This window comes from Homo sapiens, chromosome 4 (genome assembly GCF_000001405.40).
Source record: "Homo sapiens chromosome 4, GRCh38.p14 Primary Assembly".
In the NCBI taxonomy this organism is placed as follows: Eukaryota; Metazoa; Chordata; class Mammalia; order Primates; family Hominidae; genus Homo; species Homo sapiens.
Genome location: NC_000004.12, coordinates 6,564,654 through 6,583,855, shown reverse-complemented (window position 1 = coordinate 6,583,855; position 19,202 = coordinate 6,564,654). Strand labels below are relative to the sequence as shown.

The 19,202-nt window shown below is 53.5% G+C and overlaps 1 protein-coding gene and 1 long non-coding RNA gene across 3 annotated transcripts in view, besides 4 other annotated features; both read right to left on the bottom strand.

Moving 5' to 3' along the window:
* Nucleotides 1–8,667, bottom strand: part of MAN2B2 (mannosidase alpha class 2B member 2) — a 48,174-nt gene extending 39,507 nt beyond the window's left edge. For both annotated transcript variants that reach the window (NM_015274.3, NM_001292038.2), the window contains exons 1-3: nucleotides 8,508–8,667; nucleotides 7,132–7,278; nucleotides 5,358–5,463 (exon numbers count right to left, since the gene is read on the bottom strand). In NM_015274.3, the coding sequence (NP_056089.1) occupies nucleotides 5,358–5,463; nucleotides 7,132–7,278; nucleotides 8,508–8,645 (391 nt within the window). In that variant the 5' untranslated portion in view covers nucleotides 8,646–8,667. The remainder of the gene's footprint in view (nucleotides 1–5,357; nucleotides 5,464–7,131; nucleotides 7,279–8,507) is intronic.
* Nucleotides 8,166–8,934: an enhancer, noted in NCBI's record as "H3K4me1 hESC enhancer chr4:6576649-6577417 (GRCh37/hg19 assembly coordinates)". NCBI's record gives its function as "activates a minimal SCP1, AML or CMV promoter by ChIP-STARR-seq in primed H9 embryonic stem cells {active_cell/tissue: H9 hESC(primed)}" and the evidence as "EXISTENCE:reporter gene assay evidence [ECO:0000049][PMID:30033119]".
* Nucleotides 8,418–8,877: a silencer, noted in NCBI's record as "silent region_15232". NCBI's record gives its function as "represses an Ori minimal core promoter by ATAC-STARR-seq in GM12878 lymphoblastoid cells {active_cell/tissue: GM12878}" and the evidence as "EXISTENCE:reporter gene assay evidence [ECO:0000049][PMID:35858748]".
* Nucleotides 8,935–9,702: an enhancer, noted in NCBI's record as "H3K4me1 hESC enhancer chr4:6575881-6576648 (GRCh37/hg19 assembly coordinates)". NCBI's record gives its function as "activates a minimal SCP1, AML or CMV promoter by ChIP-STARR-seq in naive H9 embryonic stem cells {active_cell/tissue: H9 hESC(naive)}" and the evidence as "EXISTENCE:reporter gene assay evidence [ECO:0000049][PMID:30033119]".
* Nucleotides 9,518–15,127, bottom strand: LOC105374365 (uncharacterized). Its single transcript, XR_925098.3, has 3 exons — nucleotides 14,731–15,127; nucleotides 10,249–10,347; nucleotides 9,518–9,665 (listed from the first exon to the last, which is right to left on the bottom strand). It is a non-coding gene; the product is annotated as an uncharacterized LOC105374365 (long non-coding RNA).
* Nucleotides 9,703–10,471: an enhancer, noted in NCBI's record as "H3K4me1 hESC enhancer chr4:6575112-6575880 (GRCh37/hg19 assembly coordinates)". NCBI's record gives its function as "activates a minimal SCP1, AML or CMV promoter by ChIP-STARR-seq in naive H9 embryonic stem cells {active_cell/tissue: H9 hESC(naive)}" and the evidence as "EXISTENCE:reporter gene assay evidence [ECO:0000049][PMID:30033119]".

Genomic DNA, 19,202 nt, shown 5'->3' with positions numbered 1-19,202 from the left:
GTGCGGGTAGCCCAGCCTAAGGGAAGAATCATGGGAAAGGGGACCAGCCTATAAAGTCCTAGGATCAAGGATCAATACAGCACTTGACCTTCACGTGCCCACTTGGGACTCTTTCAAGCATATTTTCCTTTCTTTCTCATTTTAAAGCCTTTTTAAATAAACTTCCACTTCTGCTCTGAAACATGCCTCAGTCTCTTTTTCTGCCTTATGCCCCTCAGTCGAATTCTTTCTTCCGAGGAGGCAAGAACTGGGGTTGCTGCAGACCCGTACGGATTAGCTGCTGGTAACTTGGATACCTTCCACCACTAACAGCTTTACTTAGGTTTTCTGGCCGTCCAGCAGAAAGCATTCCTGAGACTTCAGGGTGATTCATGACCAAAACTGTTAATTGGCGTCCGATATACATTCTGTCCTTCTTCCTTTTAGTAACAGAACCACACACTCCTTCTTGGTTTTAGCAGGGCAAATGGACTCCCAGCCAGAGACTACATTCCCCAGCCTCCTTTGCAACTGGTAGAGGTCACATGACACCACTCTGGCCAATGGACTGGGAGCAAAATAGACTCTATTCCCCAGCAGTCCCTGCAGTTGAGGGAGGCCATATGATTAAGTTCTGGCCAATGGAAATGTGAGGAGTGATGTGGGCAGGTTCTAGGTCGCCTTTTACAAGGAAGCTGCCTGCCCTGGCTCCACCATTCCCTATCCCCTAGCTGCTGGAAGGACAACTCAGTGGGGTGAGCCAGTCTAGACTGCAACTCAGGCAGGCAACACTGTGGGGGATGGCTGAACATCAAGATGGAAGCAACGTGGATCCCTGGGTCACTCCATGGAGCAGAGCCACCCAATCACCAGAGTGGCCTGCACTGCAGACTTCCACAGGAGAGAAACACACCTTCCTTCTTGTTGGAGTCACTTGGTCTCTGTTCAAGCTGCTGAACCAGTATCCTCACCAGTATAATGACCAGGCCACAAGCAAGCTCACTAGCACATGCAGGGCAGAGGCCAGGATGCAGGGGCTGAGGGTGAAGTAGTGGGAGGTGGTGGGGGGTGAGGGGGTGGTGGGAATAAATGCCATTACAGCCTGAGCTGGAGGGTCTTGCTTTATGATGTTGAGGTCAGGAGTTCAAGACCAGCCTGGGCAACACAGTGGACCCCATGTTAAAAAAAATTTTTTTTTGAAGAGAGACAATTTAAGTGTGTTTTCAATACTGCTGGGGGCCGGGCTTGGTGGCTCAGGTCTGTAATCCCAGCATTTTGGGAGGCCAAGGTGGGCGGATCACTTGAGGTCAGGAGTTCAAGACCAGCCTGGCCAACATGGTGAGATCCCTGTCTTTACTAAAAATATGAAAATTAGCTGGGCATGGTGGTGCACGCCTGTACTCCCAGCTACTCAGGATGCTGAGGCATAAGAATTGCTTGAACCTGCGAGGTAGAGATTGCAGTGAGCCGAGATTGCGCCACTGCACTCCAGCCTGAGTGACAGAGTGAGGCTCTGTCTAACAACAACAACAACAGCAGCAACGGCAACAACAACAACTAAATACTGCTGGAAGGAGTCAGAGAGACAAGAGAAGGTGGAAGAGAGTCTGTGACACAGGAGAGGGATCGCGGATTCAGTGGGAAGGGAGTGGGGTTGGGGGACAGGGCTGAGAGCTTGGGTTTGAATGGCCAGGACAGCAGTGGTCATCCAGGATGGCCCAAGGTGTCTCCTTGACTCTCACCTGGACCCTTTGCCTCTCAGCACCTCTGAGGCGGGAGCTGGGCTCTCTCCCCTCAGGATAGGGGTGAGGGGTTCTTTCCCTCTGGCACCTGCCACTCTGCTGGGCCTCCGCTAAACATCCCAGCTGGGAAAGTGTCCCCTCAGGGAGGGGCATGAAAGCTCTTACCCCCGGGGGCCGCTGCCCACACCCAGCCTTTCCCTGACACTGCAGTGCTGGGAACAAATGCTTTTCCCCTCACTAGAAATGTCACATCTAAAATTAAGGTGGTGTTGGCGTGACTGCCGGGAGCAGGAGTTGGGGAGGTAAAGGCTGGAAAGGTGAGCTTACGGGCAGGCCCAGTGCCCCAGGCCCTGGCGGGCAGCCAGGAGTGGGTCTTGGTTGAGGAGATGCTTTGGCACCCTAGATACCCGAAGAAGAAGGTCAGAGGTCTAGAGGCTGCACCAGCCTGCTCCTGTCTTCCTTTGCTGTCCAGGGCCTGCCTCGAGGCAGGGGCTCCACCAAGGTGAGATGGAGGATAAAGGGCCCGGAAGCAGTGAGGGGTGATCCAGCCCCTCTTACCCCAACATATCTGAGAAAACCAGCCCAATGTGGACATAATTCACAGCCAGAATGCCTGGGACATCTGAGATGGGTGGTCTGATACACACACTCTGCCCCCGCCCTAGGGACTACAAGTTAAGGAAAGAGCCCAGGCCAGGCACACATGGGCTTGAGCGCCAGTTCTGTTACCTACTGCATATATATAAATCCCGCATCTCTCAGTACCTCAGTTTCCTCATCTGTCAAATGGGGCTGTGAACAGTACCACTTGCTACCAGGCTGTTCTGAGGCAACTAAGAGATAGCAGATGGGAAAGGGCTTGGCTCAGCCGCCAGTGAGAGGGGCTCAGCCACAAGTAACCTTCCTGACTCGGCCGGGCTAGGGTTGGATCTGGGTCCCATCACTTAGCTGGTGGTGGGCACATTTGGATAGCATTTGAGCCTCAAACTTCTCTACAAATAAGCATTTGTAAGATTACCCATCTACCAGATTGCCCTGAGGACTGAAAAAAAAATACGTGTACATCTTGTACCTAGAACAAGGTGGTTATCATGAAAGAAACCCACATGTCTGTACCCTGAGGGCCCCATGAGCTTGGACAGGTTTGGAAATGGAGCCTCACAACAGCCGCTGTCTCTTGTGTCTCTGGAGGCTCTTCCTGCCCCAGAGCGACACAGCCTCAGCTTCCCTGAGGCTTCCAGTTGCCAGGTCAGACCTGCAGGGTCAGCGCTGGGGTATCAGCACTTAGGCACGGTGGGCTGAGGCCAGAGGCGAGGTACCCCAGTGGTGGGTACCCTCAGGGCAGGGCAGTTCAGCGCCCACCCCTTGCCCAGCCTTGCCCAGTAAGCAGTGGTCTGGGCCAGACCCTATGCTGGGTGCTGAGATGAGTCAGATGGGGGTCCCTGCCAGGGGCATCTTGAGGTTCAGCGGTTAAGTGGGGAGGTGACACAGAACTGCAGAGACTCAGAGATTTCCTGCGGGAGGGGCTTCTCAGCTGCATCTTGAGGAGGAGGGTGGAGAATGAGGGGGAGCACTGCGTGAAATGGCACAGGTGAGAAACAGCCCCAGAGCCTCCTCGCTGGCACGGGGCAGGAGGCAGGTGGGGGACACGCCTACAGTGTCACACATTCCCTGGCAGTGGGCTTGTGAAGGGGTGTGGGGGAAGTCTGTTGGGATAGATCCCTTGCCCACACTTCACATGGGGGAGTGAAAGAGCAGGGGCTCTGGAGTCAGGGAGCCACAGCAGGCGGCTGAGGGCAAGGTGCTCCCTCTGAGCCTTGCTGTCCTCCCCTGTTACCTCTGGGCCTGTGGGGATGCAGGGGGACAAGCAGGGGCTGAGCTCCTGGCCACAGGAGGAGCTCTGTCTGTAGGGCTGTGTCCATCACGCCTCCTTCTCATGGAAGGGCAAGTCTAGGGTTTGAGCAAAGTCCAGATGTAAGGCAGTAAGAAACTGAGACAGGGGAACACTCCAGATTACAGATGAGAAAAGGGAGAGTGCCAAAAACATCCTTTGACAACATTGCTCTCTGCCTGGATGTTTTACAAATGGGGAAATCAGGGCCCATGCTGTAGTGGAGTGACTGTGGACTCGGAGCTTCAGTCCCTAGGCCTGGACTCAAGTCCTGGCCATCTACCCTGGAGAGAGTTACTGCATTTCTTTGGATCTCAGTTTCTACATCTGCAAAATGAAACTGGGCATCACCATGCCTCACCATCAGCCCGCCATTAGGATTGGCTGGGGTGTCACTGTGAAAGGCATTTGGTAAATGGTGAGTAGAGTGCCCCACGGCACTGTGGGTGATGGTGCTGAGGACAGTGGACACAATGGTGAGGGAGATGGTCATGGTGGTGGTGATGATGATTGTGGAGGGGATGGTAGTAATGGATGTGGTGATGGTGGTGGCGACAGTGATGGGTGGTGATCATGGTGATAGTGTTTAGGGGGTGGTGGTGATGGTAGTGGTAGTAATGGTCATTGTAGTGGTGAAGATGATGGTGGTAGTGGTGATGGTGGTGATGGTAGTGGTAGTAATGGTAGTGGTAGTGGTGGTCATAGCAGTGGTGAAGGGTGGTGGTGATGGTAGTTATGATGGTGGTGGTGATGGTAGTGGTAGTGATGGTCATTGTGGTGGTGAAGGGTGGTGGTGATGGTGAAGGGTGGTGGTGATGGTGGTGGTGATGGTGATGGTGGTGGTGGTGATGGTGAAGGGTAGTGGTGGTGGTGGTGATGGTGATGGTGGTGGTGATGGTGATGGTGGTGGTGGTGGTGGTGGTGATGGTGGTGGTGGTGGTGATGGTGGTGGTGATGGTGATGGTGGTGGTGATGGTGGTGGTGGTGATGGTGGTGAAGGGTGGTGGTGGTGATGGTGGTGGTGGTGGTGGTGATGGTGATGGTGGTGGTGCTGGTGATGGTGATGGTGGTGGTGGTGGTGGTGATGGTGATGGTGGTGGTGATGGTGGTGGTGGTGGTAGTGGTGATGGTGATGGTGGTGGTGCTGGTGATGGTGATGGTGGTGGTGGTGGTGATGGTGATGGTGGTGGTGATGGTGGTGATGGTGGTAGTGGTGATGGTGATGGTGGTGGTGGTGGTGATGGTAGTGGTAGTGATGGTCATCGTGGTGGTGGTGGTGATGGTAGTAGTCATGGTCATTATGGTGCTGAAGGTGGTAATTGTGATGGAAGGCAGCAAACACTTACTGAGCATTTACTAGGGAACCCACATCCTACTAAAGTGCTTTATTTGAATTATCCCATTTAATACTCACAACAACCCTTTGAGGTAGGTATTACCATCAAACTCATTTTATCTATGAGGAAACTGAAGTTACATTCCTTTCCAGGGTCACAGAGGAGGGAATTGGCAGAGCCAGGATATATTGAGACCATCTGACTCTAGCATCCATGCTCTTAACCCCTACATTCAACTTCCTTGGTGAGGCATGAATATGGCACTAGCAAATCACTGCTTTCACTGGTTAAGGTCCCCGACCCCACTAAGAGGGGCAGACAGAGCTCAGAACCTGGGGGTTCTGATACCATGTCCCAGCCCCACTGGAGGTCCTGAGGGACCCTGGGTGCAGGGTAGGGTGGCCAAACCTGTGAGCTGCAGGATCTGGTCATCAAGGTGCGTCACAGCCTCGTCATGCATGACCTGGCCTCCGATGACAAATTCCAGGCGTCCTTCCTCCAGGAGCTGGCGGACCTTGACATGGGCAGGCAGAGAGAAAAAAGCCAGTTACGGCTCCTGAGCATGGCTGGGTCTGTGGGGAACACACCTACAGCGCCACACACGCCCTGCATAAAACTCCCCACCCTTGCTTACTCTATAAAAGCAGGGCACTGTCTGTCCTGGTCCACACTGTGTTCCCACCACCTAGAAATCATGCAGCCCTCAGGTGGTATTTGAGATATATATTTGTATATATAAGATTTTCTTAAATCTTATTTTATTAACTAATTCTAAACTTTAGAAAAGTTTCAGGAATAGAACAAAGAGCTCCCATATCCTTTCCCAAGGTTCACTCATCACTACCATTTTTAACCTATTTGCTTAACATCCCCGTCTCTACACACATAACACCTTTGTTGCCCTAGACACTACACACCTCAGTATGTGTACACACAGCTGTTTATAGGCTGTGCCTTTGGTTTGTTTCTTAAGGTGCACTATATGTAGATCATTCACTCAACAAATGTTAAGTGAGCACCTACTACACAACCAGCACTGTTCAGGCACTGGGGGTTCAGCAGTGAATGAAGCAGGCAACAATTCCTGCCTCCAGGGAGCTCTGCCACAAGTTTCCTGTCCAGGTCTTCACTGGGCCATGCAGGCCATGCTTCTCTTTGAGGGCTAGGAGACAGACCACTGGGTTTGGTGGGGTCCACCTGAAGAAGCATGGGACGCTCACAGGATATCCTGGAAAGGCCTGCCTCGAGTCAGGCATGCCTGGCTCAGAATCCCACCTGCCGCTTACAAGCTGTGTGACTGCAGGCCAGTGGCGTGCCCTCTCTGAACCTGGAATGTCTCTTTAACTTGAGGTAAGAACCCCACTATCTGGCAGCATCAAGTGGCCATTGGATGTCCGGCTCCTTCCCGTGACTCTGGCGGGGCCTGGTGGACGCCCTGCTCTCCCTTCTCCGCTTCACTCCCTTGAGCAAGTCACTTGGCGTCCCTGAACTTTATGTTCAGCAACTATTCTGAAGGCAGGTGGATACCTGGGAGGAAACTAAGAACCCCCGAGTATCGTCCTGGGTGCTCACGCCAGGGCTTCATTCTTGGCATGACTTTTCTGCAATGGGGCGGTCACCCCCGTTTAATAGAAGTGGAATCTGTGGCTCGCAGGGGCTAGTCGTGTCCCCTGGTGCGGGAGCAGGATGGGACCCAGGCTGCCTCACTGTGCAGCGGGGACTCTGACTCTCCATGCTGTATGAAGCAACCTGCTGCCTACCCTCAAACCACAGGGACTATCGCACCCTCATCAAGGGTCACCAGACCCTGGGCCCGGGGGCCAGGCAGATAACACAAATGAGAGAAGAGGGTGAGGGCTTGGGGACACCTGGGATGCCTGGTGTCAGGGGGCACTGCTGACTTAGTGCCAGCTGGCACGGAAGTGCACAGCTGGGTTGCCAGAGCTGGCAGTTTTTTCAAGAATAGACAGAAATTCAGGATTAAATTGAAAGCAATCTCTCCCAGGCATGGAACTCACCGTGAACCTTGATCTAAACAAGGCTGTGAATAGCCCGGTGGGGTTTTGGCCCTGTGGTTTATGCCAGCCTGGCCCTGGCCCTGGCTAGAACTGCCCCATTGAGTTTTCCACCTGGGTCTTTGCCAGGATACTGGGCCAACTGTGTCACCTGGTGACCTCATTACCTGGTATTTCTGCTGGTCCGAGGCGACGCCATCCCACCACAGCCGGAAAAACTCCTGCTCCACAGCGATGAACCGGCGCTGCTGGCCGCGGGCCAGCTCTTCCACCACTGAGGTGTAGACATTGGCGGCGTACGCCCGCATGCTTTCCTGGGGAGGGGACAGCATCATGCCAGCCCCGGTCCAACAAGACCAAGTGTCCCTGGGGCCCCTGCCATTCGCCAGGTGTGTCTGCATGGGGTTGGGGGCTCTGCCCTTCCTTCCCTGCTGCTCACCCCCCACACAGCTATTAGGCACTCGCTCCATACCAGGCTCTCCCCACTGGATGGGATCGTGCTCTCCTGGGGGAGAGGGACGGGGAAACAGACACCCTACATGGGCAGAGACAGGTGCCCTCCCAGCCCAGGGGTCAGGGACAGTTTCTCAGAGGGGTGAGCAAGCTGGGCCTTGAGTGTGCAATTTGGGGGGCTGGGCCCTGAGTGTGCCATTGAGGGGCAGCACAGGAAAGTCTTAGGCCTCAGTCGGGGTGTGGTCCAGTGACCCCAAAGGGGCCTGCTGGGGCTGAAATGAGGAAAGCTGGTGCTGAGAGGAAGAGCTCCCCAGGCTGTCCCTGGCGTCTAGGCGTCTGCCTCCCCAAGGCTGGGAGCTCCAAGGACCACAGCTGTAGTGTGTTCCCATCCGAGTCCCGAGGGCCCTGCACACAGGGTGCCCACAGAGTGCTTACATGAATGGAAGGAGCACCGAGCAGGGAGTCAGGAGGCATGAGGGTTATTCCCGAGCGACCTTGGGCAAGGCAGCAACCCTCTCTGGGCCTCGGTTTTCTCCTCTGGAAACTGGCTGTAGTGGGCATGCTTCCCCTACCCTTTACAGATGGGGAAACTGAGGCTTAGGGACCAAAGCCCCTCGCCCAAGGTCCTGAGCAGAACCAGGAGGTGACCACAGGTCCACCTTCACCCCTGTCCTGGGGGGCGGAGGACGCTGAGCTGGCCTCCAATATTCAGCCCCGCAGGGGACCAGCCCGGCCCCTTCCCAGCGGGCACCTGACATCCACCTGCTCTGAAGCCAGCCCCACCCTCTCCTGCTCCAGGCTTCCCTGGAAAATGGGTTACCACTGTCAACCCCCAAGCCCCTCCCCAGCCGGGAATGCAGGGGTCCCTCCAATCTGCACCACCCTCCAGAAGGGGAAATGGGGGTTCAGAGGCAGGAAGTGACTGGCCCGAAGTTAGCGACGCAACCAGTCAATGGCAGCGTGGGGTCCTGAACCCACTGAGCCTCCTTCTGCGCCGGCATCGGGCCCCGGGACGCAAACCCACACTCAGATCCCGCGGGGAGAGGGAAGCTGCAGCCTCAGGGGCGCGCGGGGCGTGGTCGGCACCTACCTGCACAGTGTAGACCCAGCCCACGTCCATGTGGCTGTGGGGCACCACGAAGGCCCGGATGGGGCCGGCGGACTGGACCCCTGGCGGTCGCAGCAACAGGAGCGGTGCCAGCAGCGGCAGCCAGCACAGCTGCCCCATCCCTGCGGCAGGCCGGGAAGGTGCCAGGCCCACTTCCGGGTCCGCGAGGGGCGGGGCGGCCGCGCGGGCGGGGACGCGGCCCATTGGCTGCGGGCGGGGGCGGGGCCCATTGGTTGCCGGCTGGACGCCGACCCCGGGAAGCTCGGGAAGGAGGAGCTGGAGGCGCGGGGCCCTCAGCGGGGCAGGGCGCCTGCTCTTTGCGGTTTAGCTCTCCATCCCCGTCTCCAGCTTTCTGGCCTTCCCTCCCTGTCCATCCTTTCAGCCCCATCTCCCCCAAGCCTGCCAGATCTCCCCCAACCAGAGGAGACCCCTCCTCGCCCAAAGCCCACGCTCTGGTGGTTCCTCTCGGAGCGTGTGCCTCTTCGCAATACCTGCATCCCGCCCTCTGGACTCGGCTCCGGGACTCTGAGGCTACCGTGCAAAATTCGGCTCAGCACGGACCCTGTGAGCTCTGCCACCAGGAACCTTCCCTGATAACCCTTTCCCTCCTCTCCCTGGCGTCGAAACCCCATCTGGGCGGCGCCATGGGGGGCTTGTTATGGGACTGTCTCCTTTTTTTTTTTTTGGACAGGATCTCACTCTGTCTCCCAGGCCGGAGTGCAGTGGCGCGATCAGGGCTCACTGCAGCCTTGACCTCCCGGGCCCAAGTGATCCTCCCACCTCAGCCTCCTGAGTAGCTGGGACCACAGGGGCACACTGCCACACCCAGCTAATTAAAAAAAAAATTTATAGAGATGGGGGCCTCACTATGTTGCCCAGGCTGGTCCCAAACTCCTGAGCTCAAGCGATCCTCCTGCCTCCGCCTCTCAAAGTGCTGGGATTACAGGCATAAACCAGCATGCCTGGCTCAACTGTCTCCATTTTAAGGAGGAGAACTGGCTTTCAGAGACAGTAACTGACTTGTCCAAGATCACGCAGTTAGTGGAGGAGCCAAGAGAAGCTTTCTGGGTTACTGGATGGTGACCTGGGGCGACATAGGTAACCTCGCTGAGCCTCAGTGAAATGGGTCCGATAGAGGAGCTGTGAACAAAGTAAGGATGCACCCAGGCTGAGAGCGTGAGCACAGCACCCCTTGCCTGCACTCAGGGGAGGTGCGGTCACATTGGTGCAGCCTGTTTGGGACTGTTGCCTGGAGTCAGCCCTGTCCACTACTCCCTGCCCAAGAAAGCAAGGGTCTGTGGCTTGGGGTTTACTGTCTGAGAACCACTTGGCTGTGCCCCTGCCTGGCATTTCCTAGCGGAACCAGAGCTGCAGCTCTGAGCAAAAGTGCTGGTCCTCTTGTCCATTATGTAACAAATGGAAACTGAGAACAGGTTCTCCAAGCAGGTCTCCCTCCTCCTTCTGTCCTGTCCACCCCCTGGGGACCCCTGCATCCCCATAGCCTCAGGTCAGATGGTCTGAGCCTGACGTGGACAGTACTCACTAACACATGTCCCCATGACCGGCCAGGCTCACAGCTGGGCTCCACTCTCCAGCCTCTGCAACCAGGTGCGGCCACGTGGCTAAGTGCTAGTCAATGGGATGGGTGGGGGCGGGCACTGTGCTCCTCTTCCAGGCTGGCCCCTAACAACCTCCTGTGGGTGAGCCCTGCTCTCTTACTCACCCACTGCTCCAGTGGAGGGCACTCCGAGGACCTCAGGGAGGTTAGAGCCACCAATGGAGGCTCTGAAGAACCACATGGAACCATGAGGAACCCAAAGAGCTGTGACAAGAGGGAGAAATAAGCTTTAATTGTGTTAAGCCACTGAGTTTATCGATAAGGCAGTGTCACAATCTTTGGCAGACTGTATCTGCCAAAGATGGGCTCCACAACATTACCCACCCCCCAAGCTCTTTGTAGAATTTGGTTGACGAGAAAAGCCACACTCTAAAATATCTCAGAACGTTTATTCTAAGCCAAATAGGAGTGACCATGGCCTGTGACACAGCCTCAGGAGGTCCTGAGAACAGGTGCCCAAGGTGGTTGGGCTATAGCTTTATACATTTTATGGGGACAGAAGTTACAGGCAAAGACATGAATCAATATATGTAAAGTATACATTGGTTTGGCCCAGAAAGGTGGGACATCTTGAAGTGGGTGGGTGGTGCTTCCAGGTCAGAGGAGGATTCAAAGATTTCCTGATTGGCAATTGGTTAAAAGAGTTAAGCTTTACCTGAAGAGTTGGAGTCGGCAGAAAGAAATGCTTGAGTTAAGACAATGGGGATGTGGAAGCTAAGGTTCTTGTTACATAGATGAAGCCTCCAGTTAGCAGGCTTCAGAGAGAATAGATGTGCATGTCTCTGGGGACCTTAAAAGGTATCAGACTCTCTGGAAAAGAGCTAGTAAGTAAGGAGATTCTCTACAGAATGCAAGTTTCCCCCACAAGAGATGACTTTGCAAGTCCATTTCAAAATATGTCAAAGAAAATTTATTTTGGGGTAAAATACTTTGATTTCCTTTAGGGCCTGCTCTCTGTCGTGTGTTGCTATACCAGAGTCATGTTAGAATCGGGTATCTGATTGCTACAAAAGTGTTCTGTCAGTCTTAGGAGGATCTCTATGTTAATGTTAATGCTGGTCAGCTGTGCCGAAACTTAAAGGGAGGAGGCTATGATGAGGCATGTGTGACCTCCCACTTCCCATCATGGCCTGAACTAGTTTTTTGGGTTTCTTTGGGGTCCCCTTGGCCGACAGGGGGTCCATTCTCTCAGCTGGGGCTTATAATTTTATTTTTGATTTACAATATGATCTTGACATTCTTCCTATTAGGAGATAGGGTCTATGTCTCCTCTCATTGAATCTTGTTTATTTATTGTTTTTTATTTTATTAATTTTTGTGTTTTTTAGAGATAGAGTCTTGCTCTGTTGCCCAGGCCAGAGTGCAGTGGTGGACTCCTAACTTACTTCAGCCTCAAACTCCTAGGCTCACGTGATCCCCCTGTTTCAGCCTCCTGAGTAGCTGAGACCACAGGTATGTGCCATCATGCCTGGCTAATGAAAACTTTTTTTTTTCTTTTTTTTTTAGATATAATATCCCGTTATGTTGCCCAGGCTGATCTTGAACTCCTGGGCTCGAGGCATCCTCCCACCACCATCTCACAAAGTGCTGAAATTATAGGTGTATGCCACCATGCCCAACTAATTTTTCTTTTCTTTTTTGTAGACAAGATCTCTCTATGTTGCCCAGGCTGGTCTCAAACTCCTAGCCTCAAGGGATTCTCCGAAAGTGTTGGGATTACATGCATAAGCCACTGTGCCTGGCCCATGGGCGGGCTTGTGACACACTTGTTACAAAGAGAATGTAGTGAAAGTTGTACTGTGTGACTTCCATGACATCCATGTTCACTGGAGCACTCGTGCCTGGAGGCCTGAGTTGCCCTGTCAGCAGTCCAACTACCCTGAGGCCACCATGCTGTGAGGAAGCCCAACCAGCCCACATGGGGCAGACCACAGGGAGCAGCTCAAGATCACCATGCTGTTTCAGCTCCAGCCCCCCATCTGACTACAACAACATGTGAGACCTCATGTCATTTTCTCTCCTGCCCACTGTATCACAGCTGTGTAGGGTTTCATTTGTACTTTCCTCAAGGCTCTTGCGTGAGCTCTTGCTGCAGCTAGTCTCAGGCTTGAAGGTGATACTCACAACCCCCTCCTGGATTATTCATTCAGATCCCTTTCACCCTCAGCTAGACCCATGCTGGACTAGATAGCTTACCTGGTGGGTTGCCCCAGATCCTCACCAACGAGGATGAGCCCCTGGTGACCATTCCCTTCTTGAGCCATAGCTGCTCACTTGCCTATTTGCTGACTACATCAGGTGAAAGAGTCCTGAGGGACACCCATGTGGGTGGCACACAGTCTTCTCTGCTTCCATTGTGTGACAGCAACCCTACCTCCTCTGATGGTTCAGGTCAACTGCCCCTGCTCGATGGGTGACTCTTCCCCTGCCTACTGGTGTCTTGACATGAGTAGCCTGGCGTGACTGGTGTCGCTTGGTGGAAGCATTCCCCTTTGGAAACCAGAACCTCTGAACCTACAGAATCTGTAGTTGTGTGGACAGGAAGCACATATTCTCCAAGTAGGTCACTGAGAGTGATGCTAAATTAGGCTATTCCTGCTTCCATTCTTTGGTTCTTAGGCCCAGGTATTTTACCCACTGGGGACATCGTGTACTGGTCATTGACTTGGGATGTACATACACCCTGGAGGATGGTGCCCTTGCTTCACAGGTGGCACCTCCAAGCTGGTGCTGTGGCTGAGCCTTCAACTGGCCACTCCATTTCCCCATCAGCCAGCAGCCTCTGGGTTGTACAGCACATAATAGGACCACTAGACACCATGGGTGTGCCTGCGGTTGCACCTCTTTTGCTGTGAAGTGGAGCCCTTGGCCTGATGTGATGTTACACCCTCGCTTGGGGCTCTAATACTGGAGCAAGCCGGCCACCATGTCATGAGGACTCTCAAGCCATCTGTGGAGAGGCCCATCTACAGAGGAACAGAGGCCTCCCACCAACAGCCGGCACTGTCTTGCCAGCCCGGGTGTGAGTGCCTTGGAAGCAGGCCCTCCAGCCCAGGCCCAGCCATTCCAGAGGACATCCTGACTGCAACCTCAGGGAGGCCCACAAGGCACAACACACAGCGAAGCCACCCTGGATTCTTCACCTGCAGACACCGGGATGATCATAAACGTCTATTGCTGCTTTCAGCCACATTTCTTGAAATATTTGGGTATTTTTCCCTAGTGTCTGGTTACCTGAGTCAATGAGCATCAGTCCTGTTGGGGAAGGAGTAGGGGATTCCCATAGGCCTTTGTTACGATGTTGCAGAGTCCTTCTTCCTGGAAACACGCTTTTCCTTTCAGTGGATGGGATCTGGACTTGAAAACTGGCTCAGGTCTGGACACTGGGCAAGGGATCAGGATTTATCTTTGGGTGGCTACCCTCAACTTCCTAACCCCATCTGCCTTGATTTGTCCAGAGAGGATGGGCCAAGTCTCACCTGTGTCAGCCATCCATCTATCTTGCCTCTTTCTTTCTTTCTTTCCTTCCTTCTTTCTTTCTTTTTCTTTCTTTCTTTCTTTCTTTCTTTCTTTCTTTCTTTCTTTCTTTCCTTCTTTTTCTTTCTTTCTCTCCTTTCTCCTTCCTTCCTTTCTCTCTTTCCTTCCTTCCATCTCATTCCTTCCTTCCTTCCCTTCCCTTCCCTCCCTCCCTTTCTTTCGTCTCTCTTTCTCCTTCCTTCCTCTCTCTCTTTTCTTCCTCCCTTCCTTCCTCCATCTCCTTCCTTCCTTTCTTTCGCTTTCTTTCTTTCTATCTTTCTCCTTCCTTTCTTCCTTCTCCTTCCTTCCATCTCCTTCCTTCCTTCCTTCCCTCCCTCCCTCCCTCCTTTCTTTTTCTTTCTTCCTTCCTTCCTTCTTTCCTTCCTTCCTTCTTTTCTTTTCTTTCTTTCTCTCTCTCTTTCTTTCTTTCTTTCTCTCTCTCTCTCTTCCTTTCTTTCTTTCTTTCTTTCTTTCTTTCTTTCTCTCTCTCTCTCTCTCTCTCTCTTTCTTTCTTTCTTTCTTTCCTCTCTTTCTCTCTTTCTTCTTTCTTTTTTTTGGAGTTTTACTCTTGTTGCCCAGGCTGGAGTGCAATGGCATGATCATGGCTCACTGCAACCTCCACCTCCTGTGTTCAAGCAATTCTCCTGCCTCAGCCTCCCGAGTAGCTGGGATTACAGGAGCCAGCCACCACGGCCTGGCTAATTTTTTTTTTTTTTTAAGTAGAGATGGGGTTTCACCATGTCGGCCAGGTTGGTCTTGAACTCCTGACCTCAGGTGATCTACCTGCCTCAGACTTTCAAAGTGCTAGGATTATAGGCATGAGCCACCACACCCGGCCAGGTGCCGTTTTCTATCAAGCATCTCCATGGCTCGCCGTGGACCTCACTGTGTTCCAGCCTTGGTGCTTGTTAAAGTGATTGCACTGACCTTGCTTCCAGTGGTTTGGTGCAGGCTCCTAGCCCCTTATTTCTGGATCCTCTTATTCCCAGCTCTCTCAGCAAACCTGGTTCTGTAACGGCACCTCCCACCACCCACCCTGGCCTATGGTGGACAGCCCCATCCCTGAGCTACCTGGTGAAGCCGGTGCTGGGTCAGTGGGACGTCCTTGGTGGTGTCTTGTGGAACGCTGTCACCCAGTGGGTTTTCTGCCTGCTCCGGTCCATGCCCACTTCTCTGTCTTTTGATCCCTTCTTCTGTCATCTGCCATCTTTCTCCAAGTTTCAAGAGCCACTTCAGCAGTGCGTTAGCACTGTCTCCTGCTGTTAAATCCGGCATGACTGGTGTGTTAGTCATCTCGGGCTGCCATAAGAAGAAACCACAGACTGAGCGGCTTAAACAGCAGACATTTATTTTCTCCTGGTTCTGGAGGCTGGAAGTCCAAGATCAAGGTACCAGCAGGATCGGTTTCTGGAGAGGGCTCGCTTCTTGGCTTGTAGATGGCTCTCTTCTCCCTGTGTCCTCATATAGCCTTTCCTCTGTGCATGTAAGGCAGGAGGAAGGGGGAGGGAAGGAAGAGGGAGGGAGGGAGAGAGAGAGAGAGAGAATGAGATCTGGTGTCTTTTCCTTGTTTTCTAAGGATACCAGGCTTATCAGGTTAGGGTCTCACCCTGATGACCTCATTTCACCTTAATCACGTCCTTATAGGCCCTATCTCCAAATACAGTCACATTGGAGGTTAGAGCTTCCATCTATGAATTTTTTTGGGGAATACAATTGAGTCCATAACAATGGGAGAAGTCCCCCATTTCATGAGCTCCTCCTGCCCTTGATCCGGTCCCAAGAGCACTGTCCCACCCCCACTGCTCCGTGCTGGCTGGGTCCATAGCTCCTTTGGGGTGTAGTCTTGTCCTCCCTGGCTGGCCCAGCATGTCCCCAGGTGGGTGTGGTTGTGGCTTAACCCCAGTGATGAATCTGGTGGGCGGCACAGGTTATAGGTGGATTCGGAGGGCAGGATGTTTGGTCTTCCACGTTGAAGGCCGCGGTATCATCTTTAGGCAAGGAGAGAGCCTGTTATCCTCTGAGGGAGGACTTGGGCAATTCTGCAGGCCCAGAGTGTCCAGGTAAATCTGGGGAACCACAGGTGGAGACTGTGCATTCACCCAGACATCCCATCGCGCTCTTCTTGGAGTCCCACTCCTTTGTGATCAGGTCTGGAAGCTTGGCATTGCAGACCTGACAAGGTTGGGGACCTGGCCTAGTCTGCAGCACCCCTCTTCATAACTCAGCCCTGGGCTGGTTCTTGCTTTTTTTTTTTTTTTTGAGACAGAGTTTTTGCTCTTGTCTCCCAGCCTGGAGTGCAGTGGCGCGATCTCGGCTCACTGCAACCTCCACCTCCCGAGTTCAAGCAATCCTCCTGCCTCAGCCTCCTGAGTAGCTGGGATCACAGGCGCCTGCCACTACACCCAGCTAATTTTTGTATTTTTAGTAGAGATGGAGTTTCACCCTGTTGGCCAAGCTGGTCTTGAACTCCTAACCTCAGGTGATCTGCCTGCCTCGGTCTCCCAAAGTGCTGGAATTACAGGCGTGAACCATGACACCTGACAGGGATCACATTTCAACATGAGATTTGGAGGGGACAAATATCCAAACTCCATCAGGAGGGTAGGGTAGGGGGTACAGTTTTAAACTGGGTACAATTTAAAGGGGTGCAGTTTTAAATAGCAAAAGCCACATTGAGAAAGTGACATCTGAGCAGGAGGTGCAGAAGAGGGCGGTGTGGATGTCTGGGGACCAACCTTACCAAACTTACTGGGCAGCAGTCACTGCAAGTGCAAAGGCCCTGAGGCAGCACCATACCTGGTAAGCTCAGGAGCCAGCAAGGAGATCCCTGTAGCTGGAATGGAGGGAACCAGGGGAAGAACAACAGGAGGGAAGGTTCTAGAGTGGGGGGCAGTGGGCAGATATGGGGCTTTGGAATTTACTCTGAAGGAGATGGGAGCCATTGCAGGATTTTGAGCAAAGAGTGAGGTGATCTGACTTATGTTGTAAGAGGATCCCTCTGACTGCTGTGTTGCTGGGTGGAGAACACACCAGCCCCGGCCGGGGCAGAAGTGGGGAGACCAAGTAGGAGGTGCGTGCAATAGTCCAGGTGAGACATGATGGTGGCTGGGACCTGGGAATAGCAGTGGGGGTGGTGACATATGGTCGGGCTTGAATGTGTTTTGCAGGAAGAGCTGACGGAAACTGCTGATGAATTTGATGTGCTGTTTGAGCCGTGGGGAGTCAGGGATGATGATGTGGTCTAGGTGCAATGTGCACAGGCCCGTGTTGATACAAAGCATTTATTTCATTTCCCCTTGGTCTCTTCTAATGGCTGGTCTGAGTTGGTTTCTTTTTCCTCCTCAACTGTTTTCTGAGCTGTACCAGCACTGAGAGTGTCCATCCTGGCCTTGGGGACACACCCTTTTGTGGCTAGGGTTGGGGGAGGGGATTCCTCATTGCAGTGAAGTTGGGGGAGTCTCCTGGGTTGGGGGAAGTGTCTGGGCAGCTTCTGTGACAATCTCAGATGAAAGTTCAGCTTCACTTCACGGGGGTTGGCATTTCACTGCAGGGACAGACTACAGCCTAGAAACATTTCTTTCTAAGAACAGGCTCTGGCGTGCCCAGCCCGAAGAGGCTATTTTAGGTTTTGGGTTCTGTTACTTTGGTTACTAGTAGCAAATTGTTGTCAGAAAAAAAGCTGATGCCAAATGTGTATCCCCCCGCCAACCCCCACTCTGAAGAGATGTTCTGCAAAATGCTTCTCATTTGAATCAAAGCTCTGTCATGAAAAACGCAGGTTCCAGAGGGGCCTATACAGCAACGTGGACTCTTTCAGATCATGCTAGTGTTCTCTGGCATTGATGCTCCTCGAAACGGCCATCGCTACCCTTGCGAAGTGTAGTGTGTGCCCTCGCCCTTCTTCATCAGACTTGTCCCAGGTGACTCACAAGGAGCAACAGCCTGACCTCTGCAGGTGTGAGAGTTTGCGATAGGGGCCCACCAGCGCCATCTCCCATTCAGTCTGCACCCTGTGACATCAGCACTCTTCGTCCTCCTGAGCAAGTGGGACAGTTCTGGGGGACTTCCTCTTGCTTTAATGGGCGAACTGCTTGAGACTACGTCCAGTGCCAAACAGTCTTCCCGATCAGCAGCATGGACCCTGGCATACTCCTACCTCCAAACCTTCTATGGCTACCCAGTGTCTCTCAGGAAACCTCATCCTCAGCCTGCATTGCAAACAATTCAGGGTTTAGCCCCAACTTGCTTTTTTGGCCGTACCTCCCACATGCTTGTACTACATTCCTTCCAGCAACTGCAAACAGGCCCCATGGCTCCCCATCCTCACCCCCCTTTCCTCCTCTGTGTGTCTCTTCTGCCTAGAATGAGCTGGCTTCCTTTGGCCACCACCCTTGCACGACTGGATCCTTCAAGTCCCTTCCTACCTCAAGCCCTTTGCACGTGCTGACCCTCCTGCCTGGAAGCACTGCCTCCACTCTGTGCAGTGGACTGCTATTCCTCCTTTGTGTCTTGCACATGGAAGGCCAAAGAGAGCGTCTGTGAACCTCCCCTCTCTACAGCATTGATGGCTGTATAGAATTCAATAGTAACGTGTGCATTTGGTTAACATCTTCCTCACCCGCTACACCATACGCTCCGTGAGACTTCGTTTTGTTCACTACCAGATTTGGCACCTGGGAGAAAGGAGGGGCTGTCTACCTTCCGTCGAAAGAATAAATGAATGTATTATTACCTGCATGCCTGTCTCCCTTGCACACTCAAGGAAATGGGCCATGCCCTGGTGTGTGCAGAAAGCTCAGCTGAGGGGCTCATCCCACCTCCACAGCTCACCTGCAGTGTGAGCAAGTCACTTAACCCTGGGGCAGGGACGATGCATCCCATGGCTCCTGGCAGCCTGACCCAGAGCCTCCAGGTTCTAACCTTTAAAATGGGGATATTTATGCCTATTCATAGGGTTGTTGTAAATATGAAACTAGGCCATGCCAAGTGACTGCCCGGGACCTGACCCAGGTCCACCCCACCTCAGGCTGTAAGGCTACCCGTGGGACATGTATTTATCAGGAAACCCCGCCATGCCCTGACGCTGTGCCAGGCAGAGGGCTGGGAACTGAGAGAACAGGGGCTGATGCTGCTGCAGGATGACCTCGTGTTGGAAGACAGGCACTGCCCCGGGGAGAGGCTGCTCTGGGGCTTTTGGGGCTCCTGGGAGGACCCTGGAGGCCTTCCTGGAGGTGGAGGTGACGAAATTGGACTTTCAAGGCCAAGAAGGAAGAGGGAGGGGGTCAGAGGCTTAGAAGGCAGATCCCTCCTGCTAGGTGAGGTGTAGAGGGGCTAGGGTGCAGCTCACGGGCCTAGAACTGGGCTAAGGTGGGGTGGGGTGGCCTGACCTTTGGCCTGGGGCCTGCAGCACTCTTTCCTTCCCTCTGCTCTCCTTCTTCTGCTCCCTGGAGAGCCTATCCTTAGCCATCCCTGCTCCTCTCCCTTCCTGGGAGGGGAGGGTAGGAGAGGGGGGAGTGGGGGGATTAACGTGTGTCCCTGTGGCT